Source organism: Homo sapiens, chromosome 12 (genome assembly GCF_000001405.40).
Source record: "Homo sapiens chromosome 12, GRCh38.p14 Primary Assembly".
NCBI classification, from domain to species: Eukaryota; Metazoa; Chordata; class Mammalia; order Primates; family Hominidae; genus Homo; species Homo sapiens.
The window spans coordinates 745708-766739 of record NC_000012.12 but is presented as its reverse complement, the minus strand read 5'-3'; the positions used below and the strand labels follow the sequence as shown (position 1 = coordinate 766739).

Here is a 21032-nt window from a genome sequence, read left to right as displayed (position 1 = left end):
TTTGGGAGGCCAAGGCAGGCGGATCATGAGGTCAGGAGTTCAATACCAGCCCAACCAACATGGTGAAACCTCGTCTCTACTAAAAAAACAAAAATTAGCTGGGCATGGTGGTGCGCGCCTGTAGTCCCAGCTACTCGGGAGGCTAAGGCAGAAGAATCACTTGAACCCAGGAGGCGGAGGTTGCAGTGAGCCAAGATCATGCCACTGCACTCCAGCCTGGGTGACAGAGCGAGACTGTCTCAAAAAAAAAAAGAATAATCAAAGCTAAAGCAGTAATTGGCTTGGAACAGACTTATGATAGATACCAAAGCAGACAAAACATGACAGTTCAATGTTTCAACTTTTAAAGACCTTTTCCAGCTCATCTATCCATCTCATCCTTGTACCCAACCTTCCCTGAACTTATTCATTTAAAATTACCAGAATAAACAGCCTACACTTATTTTGTTCATGGTTTTATTTTTTAATTTTTATTTACATACATATATTTTATTATGGATTCAGGGGTACATGTGCAAGTTTGTTACATGGATATACTGCATAATGGTGAGGTTAGGGTTTCTAGTTACCTAACCTTATCGCCTTATCACCCAAATAGTGAACATTGTATCCAATATGTAATTTTTCAACCCTCACCCCAGCCTACACTTATTGTCTCTACTTTCTAAACTTCCTCTCATCCACTCATTAAACCCACTGCAAATTTTCCCTTCTTCTGAAACTGTAAGGTCACCAAATATTTTGAGTAACTATGACATATTGTTAACCTTTATTAATTCTGCATGTATGTGATAACATCCTTTGTACAGTTTCCCAAAAAATAACTATTTTTTCTTTATTAATAGAGTATACATATTTAAATGTGTAACTTCAGTTCTAAAAACAACACTCTATATACTTTAAAAGGATGAACTTTATGGTTAAAGTTGAACTTTTTGGATAAAGTTATTATTTTTATTTTTAAAATTTTTTGGAGACCCAGATCTTGCTACATTGCCCAGCCTAGTCTTAAACTCCTGGCCTCAAGCAATGCTCTCACCTCGGCCTCCCAGAAGTGCTGAGATTAGAAGTATGAGCCACCATGCACAGTCCTCATATCGTTATATTTTTTAAAAGCACAACTTGACCCAAGATCTGGATATAGCACATTCCAAAAGAATTTTCTGCAATGATTAAAAAAAAATTGTTTTTGAGACAGGGTCATAGCTCTGTCACCTAGGCTGAAGTGCAAGTGGCATGATCAAGCCTCACTGCAGCCCTGACCTCCCCAGCTCAAGCAATCCACCCAGTTCAGTCTCTTAAAGTAGCTGGGGTTACAGATGCACACCACCAGGCCCAGCTAATTTTTTAATTTTTTGTAGACAGGGTCTTGCTATGTTGCCCAGGCTGGTCTTGAACTCCTGGGCCCAAGCAATCCTCCTGCCTCAGCCTTCCAAAGTATTGAGATTACAGGTATAAGCCACCATGCCCAGCCTGAAAATGTTCTTTATCTGTGCAATCCAATATCGTAGCCACATGTTGTCACTGAGCACTTGAAATGTGGCTAGTACAAGACAATGAAGTTCTAAAAATTTCATTTTAATTTATTTAAATTTAAATAGCCACATAAAGGCTGGACGCAGTGGCTCACACCTGTACTCCCAGCACTTTGGAAGACTGAGATGGGTGGATCACCTGAGGAGTTCCAGACCAGCCTGGCCAACATGGCAAAACCCTGTCTCTACTAAAAATACAAAATTAGCTGGGTGTGGTGGCACGTGCCTGTAATCCCAGCTACTCAGGAGGCTGAGGCAGAATTGCTTGAACCTGGCAGGCAGAGGTTACAGTGAGCCAAGATCACGCCACTGCACTCCAGCCTGGGTGGCAAGAGCGAAATAGCCACGTGAGGCTGGTGGATATTGTATTAGATAGTGAACAGTGCAGAAATCTAGGGCATTACCAGTGACTTACATGTATTTATGTGCTTCTCTCTTATTCAACCTCCCCCTTACTGAGGCAACCTTAAATTTAATTGTTACTGACTTTTTTTTTAATTTCTTTTTGTCAGGGCTGTTTCTCAGTGGGAATGTTAATGATTTTTCTTTCTTTTTTTTTTTTTTTTTTTTGAGACGGAGTTTCGCTCGTTGCCCAGGCTGGAGTGCAATGCTGTGATCTCGGCTCACCACAACCTCCACCTCCCCGGTTCAAGCGATTCTTCTGCCTCAGCCTGCCGAGTAGTTGGGAATATAGGCATGTGCCACCAGGCCCAGCTAATTTTTGTATTTTTAGTAGAGACGGGGTTTCTCCATGTTGGTCAGGCTGGTCTCTAACTCCTGACCTCAGGTGATCCGCCCACTTCAGCCTCCCAAAGTGCTGGGATTACAGGCGTGAGCCACCGTGCTGTGTTAATGATTTGTTAATAGCCAAGTGCAACAATTTCAACAGCCTAACTACTACATTTCTTTACTACTTGTTAAATTCATTCTCCACAATTACTACTATGAAAATAGAACTTCTCTGATGTATTATTTTCTTGAAATTTTATTCCCTTGGTAATTGTTACTATTTTGCCTGAGGACCATTACTCTTCCCTCTCCCTCTCTCTAATTTTTCTATCTCTTCATATCCTCTCCCTAGCGTATCTCATTTACTTCCATTATTTCAGCTACAACTAATATAGACATTTTTGGGAATCATCAGCTTTTATCTTCATCTCAGACCTAGTCTTCAAGTTTTAGTAATATATCCAACTGCCTATTGAACTTCTTACTGGAGATTACATAAGAATCTCAAACTCAACATGTCCAATTGAATACATCTCCATACCTCCTCCCATCTAAAAAACAAAAAACCTTAAAACTTAAAAAAAACCTTTGATTTTTCTCTCTCAGTTGACAGCACTATCATCCCCTAACCTCTTATCCATGCTTCATTTTTCCTCCAAACACCAATTAATCACTAAATTATCCACTAAACCCTAAATATTTTATCTCCTAAATATCTAAATGTTCTATTCCTTCTATTATCTCCCTAGTTTAGGTCCTAAAAATCTCACACTCATATCCTAACTAGAGTAGCCCTCCCTTACTTGAGGCTTCACTTCCCACTGTCCAAAAATATTAAATGGAAAATTCCAGAAATAAACAATTCATAACTTTTTCTTTTTTTTTTGAGACAGAGTTTCCCTCTTGTCGCCCAGGCTGGAGTGCAATGGCGCAATCTTGGCTCACTGCAACCTCCACCTCCCGGGTTCAAGTGATTCTCCTGCCTCAACCTCCCAAGTAGCTGGGATTACAGGCATGCACCACCACACCCGGCTAGTTTTTTTTTTGTATTTTTAGTAGAGACAGGGTTTCACCATGTTGACTAGGCTGGTCTCCAACTTCTGACCTCAGGTTATCCACTAACCTCGGCCTCCCAAAGTGTTGGGATTACAAGCGTGAGCCACCACGCCTAGCCAACAATTCACGACTTTTAAATTGTGTGCCATTCTGACTAGTGTGATGAAATCTCGAATGGGACATGTCATCCCTTTGTTCAGCATATTCACACTGTTAATGCCACCCACCCATCTCGTCCTTTAGTCACTTAGTCTAATGGGTTATGGGATGGAAAAAGCAAAGTATGCATAGGGTTCAGTAGTGTCTGTAGCTTCAGGTATCCACGGGAGGTCTTGCAAACCTCAAAGTAAACAGAACCAAAAGATAAAAATACGGACCAGGAGTGGTGGCTCACACCTGTAATTCCAGCACTTTGGGAGGCCGAGGCTGGCGGATCGCCTGAGGTCGGGAGTTGGAGACCAGCCTGACCAACATGGAGAAACCCCACCTCTACTAAAAATACAAAATTAGCTGGGCATGGTGGCGCCTTCCTGTAATCCCAGCTACTCGGGAGGCTGAGGCAGGAGAATCCCTTGAACTCAGGAGGCAAATGTTGTGGTGAGCCGAGATCGCGCCATTGCACTCCAGCTGGGCAACAAGAGTGAAACTCTGTCTCAAAAAAAAAATGAAAAGCAGGAGAAAAAAATAACCATTATCCCCTAAGAAGAAGAGTGGGGACTACTGGAATCTCTACACTTCCCCCTGTATGCCTTTAATCTATTTTTGGGCAATTACTGCTATGCAAATCTAACCAATTAACTTCTCTGTTTAAAACTCAACTCTTCAGTTACTCTCTACTTTCTACACATAAGAACAGTCCGCCCTCCACATCCTCAGGTTCCATATCCACATGTTCTGCATCCATGGATTCAACTAACTGCAGATGAAAATATTGGGGGAAAAAACAATAACAAAACACAATAATAAAAAACAACATGAATTTTAAAACACTACAGTATAAAAACTATTTACATAGCACTTACATTGTATTAGGTATTATAAGTAATTTAGTGATGACTTAAACTATACGTGAGGAGCCACACCTGTAATCCCAGCGTTTTGGGAGGCAGAGGCAGATGGATCACTTGAGGTCAGGAGTTCGAGACCAGCCTGGCCAACGTGATGAAACCCCATCTCTACTAAAAATACAAAAATTAGTTGGGCATGGTAGCATGTGCCTGTAATCCCAGCTACTCGGGAGGCTGAGGCATGACAATCGCTTGAACCCAGGAGGCAGAGGTAGCAGTGAGCTGAGATTGTGCCACTGTACTCCAGCCTGGGCAACAGAGCAAGACTCAGCCTCAAAAAAAAAAAAAAATTAAATTAAAAAATAAACTATACAGGAGGATGTACTACTGTAGGTTATATGAAAATACACCATTTTATTTAAGAGACTTGTGCATTTGTGAATTTTGGTACCCTGGGGTGGGGGCTGTCTGGAACCAATCTCCTGTGTATACTGACGGATGACTGTGTGTGAGAGGGGCAATATGGAGAGTTCAAAGAACATTTTAATATGACAATGATATCTAGTAACTCTTTAGCATGTTAAAGAGATAAATCTGTTGCATTTCCCGATTTACCTTAATCCACAATAATCTACCAGTCCATGGAAGGAGATGATCCACATAAAGATAGATATATCAGGTTATGTAGCTCAAAACTCTTAGCCATGAAAATGATCTTATCCCAAGAAATCTGTTAATCTCTATCTAGTAACAGAGAATGTGCACATTAATCATTTGATTCACTAATTAATTTCATCTCTCACTGTTTGGTTTATACATTAGTGTGTGTTTGGTTAACTAGACCATCTACCACGTATCTACTGACAAAAATAATATTGTCTCTGAGAAGCTGAACCTCAGCTGCACAAAAGGTATCTGCAGGAATGACTGTGGTTTTTCTTAACTAACCTGAGTATGATGATTACAACAAGCAAATTTCCAAACACTCTTAAATTCAAACTGTTAAAATTCTTAAGAATTCTTACATTCCTGAGAAAATTATTTGCTTGTTATGACTAACAGCTTATCTGAGGACTCTTCTAAAAAATCATTCCAACATATTCATTTAGCATAATGTATTTAATATGGTAATTTGGCAAAGCCAAGATTCAAGTCACAACACTAAAAAGTAAATTATTTATGAAACCCCACCTGAAAAATCTAAATTAATGTAAGTGAAGGTGGAGATATTATATGATCAATTAAGTTGGCCACAAAACCACAGCTTACTGATGCTTTTCCTCTTATGTAAAAATCACAAATAACCAATCTTTTAAAAACTACATATAGACCAGGAACGGCGGCTCATGCCTGTAATCCCAGCACTTTAAGAGGCCAAGGCAGGTGGATCACCTGAGGTCAGGAGTTTGAGACCAGCCTGTCCAACACGGTGAAACTCTGTCTCTATTAAAAATACAAAAAAAAAAAAAAAATTAGCCGGGTGTGGTTGTGGGTGCCTGTAATCCCAGCTACTCTGGAGGCTGAGGCAGGAGAATCGCTTGAACACAGGAGGTGGAGGTTTCAGTGAGCCAAGATCCCAAGATCACGCCACTGCACTCCAGCCTGGGCGACAGAGCAAGACCCCATCAAAAACAACAACAATAAAAAAAAAACTACATATAAAATTAAGCCTGCTACCTGTCAAAGGCATAATCATCTTCCAAATAAAATATTAAGAGCTTCTGACAATGTTTCTTCAAACTGAAAAGCTCCCCTGTTAAGATTTGAGAAATTAAGTTGACAAAGCAAAAAGCTCCTAAAATCCAACTAAGTTTAATATATTCCATTTGTAATAGGTGACAATTTATAGCCTTCTAAATGAATATTTAAGTATTCTGTTATATTTTATATAACACTTAACATTTTTCAAAGTACATTCACATAGTATTTCAGTGGATCTTCAACAATCCTAAATCAGTAAGACATATTGCTAATAAATGAGCATTATAGATTAAGTTCCTTACTCAAAGCTCAGAAAATTGGGTAATCTAGAACTCAAGGGTTCTGCCTTGGTGCTCCTTTTCATTGTATAGTATTCTATTACACCATAGTGAACTTTCCAAAGACTAATGGATTAGACAAAATATATAAACAATTTCAATATGATAAATAAATACTATAAGAATTATATATGAGATCCACCAAAAGAAAATATGCTTTCTAGATACATGCAAAGATGAGACAAGGATCTTAGCAGATTCTGAAAATAAGCAGTTCAGAAAGATTGGCATTTGGGTGATGGGTCACAAAATTAAAATGTTAGGCAAAGGCCAGGTAGAGCTAAGGAATTTAAAAGCACCAGTAACATAAAGATCAATACCTGCTTTCCTCCTCCTCCAAGAACAGTAGTTAAGTTTTGCTATATGATTTTTCAAGCATAAATATAAACAAACAAAATCTTCACAGATTCCCTCAAAAGGACAACCTAAAAAAGATGCTGCATCATCACAGTTAATATTTATGTGGCAGGCCCTATCCTACATGTTTTATATATGTTCATTCATTTAATCAGCACAACTCTATAAAATGGGTACTCTTTTTTACACCCATTTTACAGACAGGAAACTGTAGCACAAAACTTGCTCAAGGTGACACAATTATGTAGCTGAGCCTTGATTTGAGCCCAGGCAATCTAGTTCTTAACTACTATGTTACAAGGCAGAAAAATGGCCTCTTCAAACATAAACTGAGGTCATGCTAAGTCTCACCTATTCCTGCAGACCAGGTTTTAAAACAAAACAAAACGGCTGAGCATGGTGGCTCAAGCCTGTAATCCCAGGACTTTGGGAGGCCAAGGCGGGCAGATCACGAGGTCAGGTGTTCAAGACCAGCCTGGCCAACATGGTGAAACCCCATCTCTACTAAAAATACAAAAATTAGCCGGGCGTGGTGGCGCTCGCCTGTAATCCCAGCTACTCAGGGGGCTGAGGCAGGAGCATTGCTGGAACCCGGGAGGTGGAGGTTGCAGTGAGCCGAGATCGCGCCACTGTACTCCAGCCTGGGCGACAGAGTGAGACTCTGTCTCAAAAACAAAAAAACAAAAAACTCAAACAAAATGCAAGTTACTAAATATATAATTTAAATTATCAATATAATTTAAAGAACTGGTATAGCAAAGGTGTACTAACGGTAATTATGAATTATTTCATAGTATGCTAAATATTTTCAGAAATGATAATTGAGTACAGCTACTCTTGCTGCTTTTACAGCTTTATCTAAAAAAATGTAAAAACTACCAGAAAACCCAAATAACAGGTTTAGGATGATTTCTGAAAATGAGAGCCCAGTTTTAGTTGAATGTTTCCATAGGGATGAACTAAGATGAATTTTATTTATATTTATATACATATATTTTTTATTTTTTGAAATTCTTTGATAAGCTGCTGGTGGAATAAGATAAATTTTAAATGACTAGGCTCTTGCATCAGAATTTGAATGTCAAGAAATGAATTGTCACAAAGCAACAATAGATTCCTGGTTTGTTTTACACAAAAACAACCTCTTTCCAGGTTTTTAGATTACTTCTCAGACTGTGTTACTACGGGTCAGAAAAAAGGTAAGAGAAAAAAATTTGCCAATACTCCTAATCGGTGACTTTGAGGATTTAAGAACAAACTCCAAAAACTATTCCCTGAGACGGAAAGTTACGCTGATTCTCATCCTAAAAAATAAGGAATGTGGCACAAATTTAAAAGATAAGAGGGAAAAAATCACCAACATTCAAATAGAGAGATTCAGTTCAATTAGATATTTTAAGAACTATAGCAGACCATCCTGGCTAACAAGGTGAAACCCCGTCTCTACTAAAAATACAAAAAATTAGCCGGGCACGGTGGCGGGCGCCTGTAGTCCCAGCTACTCGGGAGGCTGAGGCAGGAGAATGGCGTGAACCCAGGAAGTGGAGCTTGCAGTGAGCCGAGATTGCGCCACTGCAGTCCGCAGTCCGGCCTGGGCGACAGAGCGAGACTCCGTCTCAAAAAAAAAAAAAAAAAAAAAAAAAGAACTATAGCAAAGAAATAAATGATGGTTTCTTAATCACAGAACCACATCCCATTTCTGTAACACTGCTATACTATTCACAAAATATTAATGTCATGTACTCATGACACACAGTCTTAATAAAAGACAGAGAAAAATAAGCAGTTAAGTATATTGGAGCTTCAACAAAAATATGATTTAACCTCTCTTTTCAGGTAGATGTGGAAACAATCTCATCAACATATAACGCATCATGTGAACTCTTCAGAGGCAACTTGGGAAGGTGCTTAAAATAAATCATTCTTAAATCTGTGCATCAATGTTTTCTTTTTCTTTCTTTCTTTTTTTTTTTTTTTTTTTAGAGACAGAGTCTCACCCTGTCACCCAGGCTGGAGTGCAGTGGTGCGATCTCGACTCACTGCAACCTCTGCCTCCCGGGTTCAAACAATTCTCCTGCCTCAGCCTCTCGAGTAGCTGGGATTACAGGCGTGCGGACCACGCCCAGCTAATTTTTGTATTTTTAGTAGAGATGGGGTTTCGCCATGTTGGCCAGGCTGTTCTCGAACTCCTGACCGCGTGATCCACCCGCCTCGGCCTCCCAAAGTGCTGGGATTACAGGCGTGAGCCACCGCACCCGGCTCCATCAATGTTTTCTTAAAGGAAATTATGCTATCTTTTTTGAAAAACCAGATCCCTTTCTAGAAAAGCAATGTAAACTCTGCAGATAGAGCCCAACAGTAATATTTTCTGACCAAGACAACCAAATATTAAAATTAAGGTGCACTACTTGTCTAATAAAACCAGTTAAAGAAATCTGCATCTTAAACATCTCGGTAATTACTGAAGGTCCTGTGGTATCAAAATATTACCTAGGCATTATTTACTAAGAATTGATGCTTGTAATTAGCTGGGTGTGGTGGGGTGCGCCTGTACTCCCAGCTACTTGGGAGGCTGAGGCAGGAGAATCGCTTGAACCCAGGAGGCGGAGGTTGCAGTGAGCTCAGATTGCGCCACTGCACTCTAGCCTGGAGATAGAGCAAGACTCCGTCTCTTTTTTTTTTTAAAAAAAAAAAAAAAAAAAAAAAAGAATTGATGCTTGTTTTACTAAAGAGCAATGCATAGCATGACTCTAAAAAAATTAGCATGACAGAAAATAGCTTGATTTGTATACCATATTGACCCATCCACAAAAGCCTATTTATATCTCAATTTGAAGTGATAAAAATCAACACCCAAAACAGAAGCCTGAAATTTGCCATGGGTATAAGGACCGGGTTTCTCCAGAAATCCAACAGCCACTTCCACACCAACACAATATTGCTTCATTTGAAATGACTTATTAGCCATCTACTGGACTACAAATGCTTTGTCATCTCCCAAATTATTAGATCCTAACTAGCTTTTGTTCTTCATCTACCTAATCAAGTTATTTACCTGCTCTATGATTTCAGGTTCCTTATTTGTCAAATAAATAGCTGGGCAGAATAACCTAAGATTTCTCCCAGTTTCAATACACTAAGATTTTTAACTCAACAACTTAACTCAATATTCTCCTGTCTTGCTTCAGAAATATATGTATATTAAAAGGATAGATTTAGCGAAAAAGTTTCTATCTTTCCAGTGCTTTAGTAATCCCTTGGCTTGTCCTTTAATTTGGCTCCAAAGATAAAAGTTCAAACACTGACCCACTGAATATTTTATTAGGCATGTAGTGCAAGTGTCCTGGTCAAAAAACCAAAAATACTGCCTAACTACTGCTATAAAGGATTTTTCAGGTAAGATAATCTTTTCAAAATCAAAACAAAAAATTACAGAAGCACAGACAAATAACATGGAAGTTTCTAAACCAGGTACCACTTAATAAGCTAGGATTCATCTAGTTCTGCAGCCAAATCCTGAAATGACTCAAAAATAATATGCGATGTAAGATTTTCTTTAGTTTGGTAATGCCCATGCCTAGATAGAGAATTAAAAATCCAAAAAGTTACGAGTTCTAAGAAAACCTGAGAAGCTTGGACAAAGTTTTTATCGTGACATTAGACAAATTAAGTTTTTTTCACTGTATTATCAGTTCCAAGATAATAAAGTATCAGAAAATTCCAGGTGATAAAAGGAAAACACACATCACATGCTAAGAAGTCTCAGAAGTGAAATAATTAAAACTAACAAAATTAATTCATAAAGTGCTCAACAAGTAATTGGGTCCAGTCTTAAAAAAGTAAGGTAACCGGTTAAGGAAAACAAAATTGTTAAAAAGCACCTATTCAAATATAAAACTATAATGGAAGAATAAAATTCCAGCATCAGTATCAATAAGCATCGATAGTACAAGAAAGAAATGTGTCTACCTGTAAATTTCTGCCTGTAAACCAAAAGGAATCGGACATAAGTTTTTTTGTTGTTGTTGTTTTTGTTTGTTTTTGAGACGGAGTCTCGCTCTGTCACCACGCTGCAGTGCGATGGTGCGATCTCCGCTCACTGCAACCTCCACCTGCTGGGTTCAAGATATTCTCCTGCCTCAGCCTCCCGAGTAGTTGGAATTACAGGCGCGCGCCACCATACCCGGCTAATTTTTGTATTTTTAGTAGAGTCGGGGTTTCCCCATGTTGGTCAGGCTGGTCTCGAACTCCTAACCCCGTGATCCACCCGCCTTGGCCTCCCAAAGTGCTGGGATTACAGGCGTGAGCCACCGTGCCTGGCCCAGACTAAGTTTTTTGAATATGACTGACCAAAATGAACAGTTTTCGTTTGACGAGGTTTTTTTTTTTTAAAGATCTGTCACCTTTTCAATTCTAAAATACTATAAAATTAATGAGTAGTTTTAATTTCACACTACCTTAGAAGTTCTACATCATTAACTGTAAAAGTTAAGAAATGATTATGTTTGTAAAGAACTTCTTAGTTTTTAAGTTTACTTCCACATGCTGTGTTAATTTCACATTTGATATGGCCTTAGTTATTTGGAACCTGACATTCAAAGGGTTACGTGTTAACATATTAGTTCATGGATAAAATAAGTTCCAAGATCATTCAGTTATTTTCATATCCTGTATCAGGCTGGTCTATATTCTTGGCAAGATTACTATATCAATAATGGCAATTTTTATGCATGCATAATGTGGCTGACTTCCTTCAGCATAAACCTGCTCCTACTAATAACCTATGTTCACCTATGCCCAATCAGGGCAATATTTAAGCAAGCTGCTTCAGTAAGTCAAGCAACAAGTAGCCCAAACTCAGCTGTTTAAACCTAGAATGTACTAGTCAACCGGAATGACACACCATTATTTACACCACTAGAGGTTAAAAAAGGAAGTGCTGCGACTCCTTCGGACTCTTGGGAAAGTTCAGCTTAAAGATATTTTATAAGATTAAAACAATGATGATGACATTACGACTCTCAAAGCACTTACACAATTTTGCATGGGCTCCTATACTATTCGCTGTATAGTGAATGGGCTGAAAGACATTAGTTTAATGAACGTCAGAGCAATGCTGCTACTGTAAGGCTTAAGCATCATTAGGTAGAACAACATCAAACATCCAAAAGGGGCAGAGAAGAGTCTTTTTTTAATAATTATTTTATACTAAATGCCTGTGCAACCATCAAGCAAAATACATCCAAAGGTACAAGGTTGTTCTCATTTAAAAAGAACAGCCTGATCTCAGGAATGAAAACACGCTTCTACACCCAGACGCAGCTCATCACTGCAGAGCCTTTGATGAGATTGAAATGCACAGAAGAAGAAGCATCTGTACTTTCAACTTCCCCACTCATTCCAAGTTTCCTGCCAGACTCTAAACCAGGAGACAATTCGTTTGTACTAAGATGACCTTCACCACCGCTGCCCGGTAGCAAATCCCTCTGGCTACCAATAATTCTTATCCTATCCCAACACCTAGGCACATGCTCCACATTCTCCTAATTTCAGCCCCTTTCAAAAGTTGGCCTCCCCGTCCCACTCGGAGTCCAACAGAGAATGCCAAGTGAAGGGTGAACTCGATCAACTGGCTTCGCCGAGCCAAATTTGGGATCCAAAGGACCGTCAAATAAAGTAGGTGGGGCTTTACCTGCAGTTCACACCAGGCGACTTCCACGGTGGTTTCAGTGTCCAGACCTTTGTAGACCGTCTTAAAGGAGCCTCTGCCGATTTCGATGTCAAACTTGAGAAAGCGGCCATCGTTAGACATTCCCACGGCCTTGGTCTCCAGCTCTTCGATATCATCCTGCTGCTGGCTCCGTTCCTCCTGTGGCTCCTTGGCGCTGCCGCCGCCGCTGCCACTTCTCGCCGGCGGCGGCTCCTCTTTGCTCCCCACAAGGCTAGGCTGGGACACTGGGCGGTCTTTGCTGGTACTGCTGGGGACAGTCGAGGGGGCAGGGCCCGCGACGGCCTGTTCCCCAGGGGCGGCAGCGGCTGGAGGCTGCTGGGCTACCTGGGAAGTGGCGGTGGCGGTCACGGTCTCTTCCCGGTGGGGCTCCGGTGGAGCACTCTGCGGGACAGCCGCGGGGATGCTGGGCTGGGGCAGGGAAAGAGGAAGGCCGGGAAGCTCCAGTGCAGTGGCATTGGAGTCACAGATGACGCTCCGGCGGAAGAAGCGGTGCTCAGTGGTGGTAGTGGTCGCGGCCGCCCCACGGCTGTCCTTGTCCATAGTGTGGCGGCGGCGCCTGTACTCCTCGGTCCTGCCGGTCACAGCGTCGGCGGCCGCGGCTCCCAGTTTCTCCCCCACGGAGGAATCGGAGCTGGAGCCATTCTTGGGGGCAGGAGCCGGCGGCGAGAGGAACAGGGAACCGGGAGTGCTGCTCTGCTTCTCTGCGGCGCCGCCAGACATGGTCGGTTCGCTGGAGAGAGGCGAGCGGGCTCGGATTCGTGAACGAAAAGGGCGTGAAGGGCCGAGCCGCCCGCGCAGAGGTCTGCAGGGAACCGCGGCCGGGCGGGTTCGCGCCGACCCGGACGACGCCTCACTCAGCACCGACAAGCCGCAACGAGGGACAGGCGGACCGCTGGGCCCAGCTGCGGCGGGGGCTGGCACCGAGGCTGCTGCGGCTCACGAGGAGGGCTCGAAGGCGGGCGATTCGGGAGCTGAGCCACGGGGGTTAGCGCCGCACGGTCCGCATCCATCCTGCGGCGAGCGGCGGCCGGGCGGGCGGTGGCAGCAGAGGCGCCGCAGTCATGAGGGGAGGGCCAGGGGCCGGCACCGAGTCGAGGCGGATGCGGCGGACGCGGCTCCCACTGCCGCCGCTCGCCGAGCTGGGCGGGCTAGGCCCAGAGGGCGGCGGCACCGCGAGCACGGGACCAGGTCCGACGCCCGGGCGGTGGCGGCCCCGGGGCAGAGGAGTGGGAGGGGCCGAGGCGGGCGAGGGAAGGCCGCGGCCCGGCTCCCGGTCACTCGGGCGGCCGCCTCCTCCCACACGCGCCCCCAGCGATGGGGACCGGCCTCACAGGTCGCCCATCGCCCAGAGGCGAAGGGCCGGAGCCTCGGAGCCTCGGCGCCTGAGGAGCGGGCCCCCCCTTCCCCGAGGCCTCCCCGCCCGCCCCAGGCCTGGCAAACCCGTCTCCTCCCGGGCCGGTGCCGGGGGCTGACGGAGGAGGGAACGGCGGGGAGGGGAGGGCCGCTCACCGCGGGGCCCGAGCTCCGCTGCTTCTCTGAGGCAAGAGGAGAGGAGACCTAGAGGACTGGGTGAGGGGGAACAGGGAGAGAAAAGAGCAGCCACCCCCACCAGGCGCCTTCTGTCACCGAAGATGGGGGTGCGGAGTGGCCGAGAGAGGAGCCGCGTCCACCCGGGAAACTCTCCGCGCTAAATGGCGCCGGGAGTCTGAAGCCTCCACACAGCCCGCTCGGATCCCGCCCCCCGCCGCCCGGAGCAGCCCCACCCCCCAACTCGCTCCGGGGCTTTTGCGCAGGCGTGCTAGCCCCGAGGCACCCTGGGACTTATAGTTTACGGGTTGGCGGGGATGAACGGGACCTAGAAGAAAAGTGCCTACGACTTCCGTGATGCCTTGCGGTTGCTGTAGCCTAATGCCTCGTGGGAGTTGTAGTTTTCTTTGGAAACCGTCCCTTCTGAAAGGCTGATGGGAGCGTCATCACGGGTCGCTCAACCCCATCCCGAAGTCCGCGCGAGCTTAGGAAAATCATTATTTAGGGATTAATTGTGGAAGAAGGAAAGGAAGGAAAAAAAAAAAAAAAAGAAGAGGAACGAGCGGGCGGGGGGTGGGGGGGGGGATGGAAAGACTCCCATCATGCTCTGCTAAGCTAGAGAGCTCTTAGGGTTGCCATGCAATGAAAAATGATCTGTTGTTCATCTTTAATGGAGAGAGCCTCAGTAGTGTTGAGTGACTGCAGGGCTGTGAGGGTGGAAGGGAAGGGCAAAGCAGGATAACCGGAGCCTGAGCTCTGAGTCGGAGGAGGGGAAAAGAAACTTTGTGAAGATTGTGCATGAAATTAATATTGATTAAACGGATTGGAGGAGGAGACACGGAGGATTACCTTCCATCCTCCTCCCCTCATCAATTAAGGCCACATTCTCAGCTCCCGGCCGAGACGGATATTCTGGCTCTCAAAAAAGGGCTGCCTTACTGAAATCGGGGATCCTAGTGAACTCTATCTTTGCTTTGTCTGAAAAATAATAAAAGGGGGGTTGGGGGAGCGGTGGATTCAAGAAAAGATAAGGTCTACGGATCTATGGGTCTTTGACCACACTTGGGGGGCTGGGCTGACTTCTGCCTTTGTAGTTGGTTGAAACTTATTTTCCACCTTTCTTCTGCTGGTGGCTTCGTGAAACAACACCCCCTCTTTCTCTAGAGCTCCTGAATGTCCACATGCAATGTCTACAAAGGCTCTGGGCCCGGGAAATGTGGATCCATGCGGCTTGCCGCCATGGAATGTTTTTCTTGAAAGCATCCTTGTCTGCCTGGACCCCTGTGCTCTTCGCAACTACTCAAGATGTGGAGGGGACGAGCACCAGGGGGCACCAGACCGAGTAGGAAGCCGGACTCGGGAGCAGACTGCAGTTTAAAAGCCTCAGTCCAACCGGTGGAGAGCGGGAAGCGCTGAAAACGTACGCAACCGCATCAGAGCGTCCGGACGCGGCCGCCTCTCTTCAGCGCCCGCTGCGGAACAAGCTCGAAAGCGCGCGTCGGGGCCGAGGACCACGCTGCGAGCGAGCAGCTAGCAAGGAACTCGGCAGGAGGTTCCTTAGCACAGTTATCGGATGAGCTCCACCTACAGAAGTCTTGCCCTGCAGTTCATGTTAATTCATCTGATACGTAAAATACTTAACCCTATTTTTCTTTTCTTTCTTTTTTTGTTGTTTATCACAAGCTACACTTTCAAGTTTACAAAAATGTTTTAAACCAATGATCGTTAGGTTTCATGAAGCTGACAGGTTACGAACATTTTAAAATGCCGATTCAGCAGGGACAACTAGAGTACTAAAATATTAGTGTTCCATTGCTTTAGAAAATGTATCTTTCATTCGTTTGCTATTGGTAATGGTAAATAATCTCATTATGGCAAATGGAATTAAGAGTGTTTTTCTAACCGTAAACCTAATGTAAGCAAGGGAAGAAATGGCTGTAAAATACATTTTTATTGTACTTTTGAGTAAAATAAAACTTACCCAATTGTTGCTTCACTAGGAAAAATAGTCTGATTTTAAACATAAGGCAGCTAATTACAAATTGGCAAGTTAAAAGAAGATCAGTAAATCACAATGTTCCCTTTTGGCACCATGAAAAAATTAGGATATTTTTGTGTGAGTGGTTGTTAAAGGATTTTATTATTGCCTGTTCCTGTTTACTGAGCCCTGAAACTTTGGCCACACTGCATTGGACACAAGTCCCTTGATAATCACCATGCCCTATCAACATGTCTTTTCAACCAGGAACAACTAAATTCATTGTAAGTAATTTAATTAACTGTTGACTTAAAACCACACTTGCCTAGGAGACAGCTTTTCCCACTTGTGTAATATTAGCTTTACAATGAAAACAGATACAATTTTAAGTTGAATATAATCTTATTATGTACAATGATTAGATTTAAAGGTTATATTATTTAGTGTGCGTATTTTACTAACAAACACTTTTTTGCTCAGTTTTTGTTTTGTTTTGTTTTGTTTTGAGAGAGGCTCACTCTGTCGCCCAGGCTGCAGTACAGTGGCTTGATCCCAGCTCACTCAGTTCTTTTTAATGCTTACCAACCTACCTCCAAGTAAATGGTATTTTCTGTTACTCATTACTATAATTCCTAATAGTACTTTTCCTTTCTCTGTCACTTCAATTATCCAGTAAAGAATCAACCTCTCTATGTTCCATATAAAACATCAAGTGACTGTAAACAGAGATAACAAAGAACCCAGGATACAATGAATGCACTAAGCTCAGAGGTTTGACTTCCTTACATTTGGTTCCACAAGAAGAATACAAGTATGTTATTCTGTCTCACCATGTCTCTATTCTCTCTAGTTCTTGTTCATGTTCTCACATTGATTGATTCATGTTTCTTTCTATTCCCTTCCATTCACATTTTTTTGTTTACATGGTTTCTGCCATTGGTAACTAGCTAGCAATGAAAGTCAGAGACACCTTTGATTTAGACAGTGGCTGAAATATCCTAAACACACAAAATCTACCTTACTTTGAATGTGGCAAAATATTGATACATAAAGTTGCTTCTTGAAGTGTAGGGGAAAAATTGTCCCACCTTAAGAGCATTTCTCTTTTTTTTTTTTTGTCTCCTTTCCCTCATTTTCCCATGCTCCTTTGTCTTGCCTATGGGTAATTTTTATTTTACCTCTTTGTCGTCTGGAACCCTGTCATCTGGAAGTAGGAAGTGAGAATCAGGCAGATAAACAATGAAGAATAGTTTTTTAAGAACTTTATATTATAAATGAAATAAAGGGGGTGGGATTTTCCCTATATCAAAGTATATTATAAAACCATAAAATTAAATCTATATGGTATTGAGATAAGCATAGGCAATGGAACAGAAGAGAGAGTACAGAAACAGTCTCATGTATGTATGGGAATTTCATATAGAAAATGGCATTTGAAGTCAGTAGGGCAAAATAATAAACAGTGCTTGGACAATTAGTTATTCATTTGAAAAATAAATGAGGTCAGTGTTTACTTCAGACTGTTCACAAAATTAATTTCCACATAAATTGAAGAACCAAACTTTTAAAAAATATCTCTAAATAATTTTTTAAATGTAGGAGAACATAGGGTACTAAAGGGCTTCAAAGAGCAATCCAAGAGCCACAAAGGAAAATATTTGACAATATCAAAATTGATAATCTATTCAACAAAACACAAGTGACAAACTGCCAGAAAAACTCTGGAGACTGTATAACAAAAGATTAATATCCAAAAGATATGGGGGGAAAAAAACCCTCTTAAATCACTGAGAAAAAGGCAAACCACTGTATAGAAAAGGAGGATATGAAAAGATAATTTACAAAGCAGTAAATGCCATGGTGGCTTACACCTGTAATCCCAGCACTTTGGGAGCCTAAGTGGGAGGATCACTTGAGGTCAGGAGCTCGAGACCAGCCTGGCCAACATGGTGAAACCCCGTCTTTACTAAAAATACAAAAATTAGCCGGGCATGGTGGTGCGCGCCTATAGTCCCAGCTACCCGGGAGGCTGAGGCACGAGAATCGCTTCAACTCAGGAGGTGGAAGTTGCAGTGAGCCGAGATTGAACCATTGCACTGCAGCCTGGGCAACAAAGCGAGACTGTGTCTCAGAAAAAAAAATAAAATAAAATAAAGCAGTAAATGCAAATAACAAAAATAGACATGAAAAAGATGCTGAAACTCAGTAACTAGCAAAATGCAGATTAAAATATAATATTTTCTCTCATAAAATTGAAAAATTATCTTTTTTTGAGACAGAGTCTCATTCTGTTGTCCAGGCTGGAGTGCAGTGGTGCAATCACAGCTCACTGTAGCCTCATACTTCTAGGCTCAAGCCTGCCGAGTAGCTGGGACCACAGGTGTGCACCACCATGTCCAGCTAATTTTTAAATTTTTTGTAGAGATGAAGTCTCACTATGTTACCTTGGCTGGTCTGAACTCCCTGGACTTAAGCAGTTCTCCTATTTCAGCCTCCCAACGTGCTAGGATTGCAGGCGTGAACCACCACGCCTGGTCTAAATTGAGCAAAAAAAAAAAAAAAAAAAAATTTTTTTTTTTTTTTTTTAGTGTCCCCATCATGGCAATTTGCAAAATTTTTAGGGATTCATAATATCAAGTGTTGGCGAGGATGTGGAGAAACGTGCTGTTAATGATACGGTAAATTGGTACAAGCTTTTTTGAGGGCAATTTGTTAGCAATTATTAAAACGTACAATGTGCATCGTCTTTTTCTTTCTTTTTGGTACCTACCTTGGAAAAATACTTGCACGTGTTTCCTAAGAAATATCTATAAGAGGGTGGGTGCTCACGCCTGTAATCCCAACACTTTGGGAGGCCGAGGCGGGTGGATCACAAGGTCAGGAGTTCGAGACCAGTCTGGCCAACATGGTGAAACCCCGTCTCTACTAAAAATACAAAAAATTAGCCGGGTGTGGTGGTGTGTGCCTGTAACCTCAGCTACTCGGGAGGCTAAGGCAGGAGGATCACGTGAACCGGGAGGTGGAGGTTGCAATGAGCCGAGATTGTGCCACTACACTCCAGCCCAGGCAACAGTGCAAGACTCCATCTCAAAAAAAAAAAAAAAGGAAAGAAATATCTATAAGAATATTCACTATAGCCAGGTGCAGTGGTGTGTGCTTGTAGTCCTAGCTACTTGGGAGGTTGAGGTGGGAGGATTACTTGAGCCCAGGAGGTCGAGGCTGCAGTGAGCTATGATCACGCCACTGCACTCCAATCTGAGTGACAGAGCAAGACCCTGTCTCTAAAAAACAAAAACAAAACATAAAACCTTTCACTATGGCTTTATTTGTAACAAAAAATCCAAATGATCTGCATGTTCATCAATAAGAAAATAGCTAAACTATGGTATTTCCAGTTTGGGGTACACCATGCAACAGTAGGAAAAAAGGAGGGAAATATGTATGTGGTGCCATAACTATTAAGTGAAAGGCTCAAGTTTCAGAATAATATGCACTATATCACATCTTGTATTTTTTTAAAAAATTCTGTTTCTGTGTGTATTTAAAGGCATGCAGAAAAAGTCTAGGTAGTACACACCAAAATGAAAAGGAGAATTACTTCTGGGGAATACTCAGATCTTTTTTGTTGTTTCTTTTTTGAGACGGAGTCTCACTCTGTCGCCCAGGCTGGAGTGCAGTGGTGCAATCTTGGCTCACTGCAACCTCTGCCTCCCGGGTTCAAGTGATTCTCCTGCCTCAGCCTCCCAAGAAGCTGGGACTCCAGGCACACGCCACCATGCCCGGCTTATTTTTCTTTTTAGTAGTGGTGGGGTTTCACCATGTTGGCCAGCCGTGAGCCACGGTGCCCAGCTGAATACTCATCTCTTTATTTTGTGAATTTCTTAACACATTGTCACTCGTTGCAGATAATTTGAACGTTACAGAATAAAGTATGGAAGAAAGTGAAAATTACCAGAAAATCTACCCAGCCATAGATAGCAACCTTTAATATGTAGGCGTATTTCTTTCCAGACAGATAAAAATTTTATAATTATGTCGTAAGCTTTTCCAGTGTATTACATACTCTCTGGAAACATCGTTCTTTAATAGCTGCACAGTATGTCACCATAAGACATTACCAAGTATAAGTTTTTCACATTATCTGGAAAGAACATAGGGGGAAATATTTAAAATGTCCCAGGCTTTAACATGCTCTCACAGGAAAAGATTTATCAGAATCACCTAGGAAGCTTTTACAAAATACACCTGTTGGACTGTTTCACCACTACTCCTCATCCAACCTAGATATATTTTTTGGTGAGAGAATTCATTGCAAGCAGACCTGCATTGCAATAATTTTTTTAAAGGAAAGTATTAGTATATTAGTAAAAGGAGTAGTAAATTAGGATTTAAACAAGGAATGAAAATACCAGAAAAAAAATATGTTGGAAAATATAAAAGCCCAGAAAATAAAAAAGAAAATAAATAAAAGAAAACATAAAAGGCACTTTATTAGTCATGTTAAAAGGTAAATGATGGTTTCAAGCAAACGTAAAAACAAGGTATAATATGCATTATAATATATGAAGAAGTAAGCGGGACATGGAGGCTCATGCCTGTAATCCTAACACTTTGGGAGGCCGAGGTGTGAGCATCACTTGATGCCAGGAGTTTAAGACCAGCCTGGGCAACATAGTGAGACCCTGTCTCTAAAAAACAAAAAATATTTTTAAAGTAAATAAAATTTTAAAAAAATAATATATATAGAAGTAAATGTATAATGGTTATAGCATAAGGGACAGGAGGAGGAAATGGAAGAATAATGTTATTAGGGTCTTATACTATATATGAAATGTCATAATATTATTTGAAGGTAAACTATAATAATTTCAAGTTACATATTGGAAAGACTGAAGCAATCACTAAAATTATCAAATACAGAGGTATAGGTAATAAACCAGTAGTAGGGGTAAAATTGAACCATTAAAAAATGCTTAAATAAGGGGCCAGGCGTGGTGGCTCACGCCTGTAATCCCAGCACTTTGGGAGGCCAAGGTGGGTGGATCACAAGGTCAGGAGTTTGAGACCATCCTG

At 42.2% G+C, this 21032-nt stretch overlaps 1 protein-coding gene across 50 annotated transcripts in view, besides 8 other annotated features; it reads right to left on the bottom strand.

Annotated features, from left to right (window-relative positions):
- The window catches only part of WNK1 (WNK lysine deficient protein kinase 1), a 158874-nt gene extending 144713 nt beyond the window's left edge, over nt 1-14161 (bottom strand). For all 50 annotated transcript variants that reach the window (NM_213655.5, XM_011520997.4, XM_011521000.3 and 47 more), the window contains exon 1: nt 12416-14161. In NM_213655.5, coding sequence (NP_998820.3) covers nt 12416-13174 — 759 coding nt within the window. In that variant the 5' untranslated portion in view covers nt 13175-14161. The remainder of the gene's footprint in view (nt 1-12415) is intronic.
- Nucleotides 12711-13429: an enhancer, noted in NCBI's record as "H3K27ac hESC enhancer chr12:862477-863195 (GRCh37/hg19 assembly coordinates)". NCBI's record gives its function as "activates a minimal SCP1, AML or CMV promoter by ChIP-STARR-seq in primed H9 embryonic stem cells {active_cell/tissue: H9 hESC(primed)}" and the evidence as "EXISTENCE:reporter gene assay evidence [ECO:0000049][PMID:30033119]".
- Nucleotides 12711-14265: a biological region, named in NCBI's record as "H3K27ac hESC enhancers GRCh37_chr12:861758-862476 and GRCh37_chr12:862477-863195".
- Nucleotides 13266-13645: a silencer, noted in NCBI's record as "silent region_4108". NCBI's record gives its function as "represses an Ori minimal core promoter by ATAC-STARR-seq in GM12878 lymphoblastoid cells {active_cell/tissue: GM12878}" and the evidence as "EXISTENCE:reporter gene assay evidence [ECO:0000049][PMID:35858748]".
- Nucleotides 13430-14148: an enhancer, noted in NCBI's record as "H3K27ac hESC enhancer chr12:861758-862476 (GRCh37/hg19 assembly coordinates)". NCBI's record gives its function as "activates a minimal SCP1, AML or CMV promoter by ChIP-STARR-seq in primed H9 embryonic stem cells {active_cell/tissue: H9 hESC(primed)}" and the evidence as "EXISTENCE:reporter gene assay evidence [ECO:0000049][PMID:30033119]".
- Nucleotides 13656-14035: a silencer, noted in NCBI's record as "silent region_4107". NCBI's record gives its function as "represses an Ori minimal core promoter by ATAC-STARR-seq in GM12878 lymphoblastoid cells {active_cell/tissue: GM12878}" and the evidence as "EXISTENCE:reporter gene assay evidence [ECO:0000049][PMID:35858748]".
- Nucleotides 14116-14265: a silencer, noted in NCBI's record as "silent region_4106". NCBI's record gives its function as "represses an Ori minimal core promoter by ATAC-STARR-seq in GM12878 lymphoblastoid cells {active_cell/tissue: GM12878}" and the evidence as "EXISTENCE:reporter gene assay evidence [ECO:0000049][PMID:35858748]".
- Nucleotides 14906-14955: an enhancer, noted in NCBI's record as "active region_5790". NCBI's record gives its function as "activates an Ori minimal core promoter by ATAC-STARR-seq in GM12878 lymphoblastoid cells {active_cell/tissue: GM12878}" and the evidence as "EXISTENCE:reporter gene assay evidence [ECO:0000049][PMID:35858748]".
- Nucleotides 15006-15105: an enhancer, noted in NCBI's record as "active region_5789". NCBI's record gives its function as "activates an Ori minimal core promoter by ATAC-STARR-seq in GM12878 lymphoblastoid cells {active_cell/tissue: GM12878}" and the evidence as "EXISTENCE:reporter gene assay evidence [ECO:0000049][PMID:35858748]".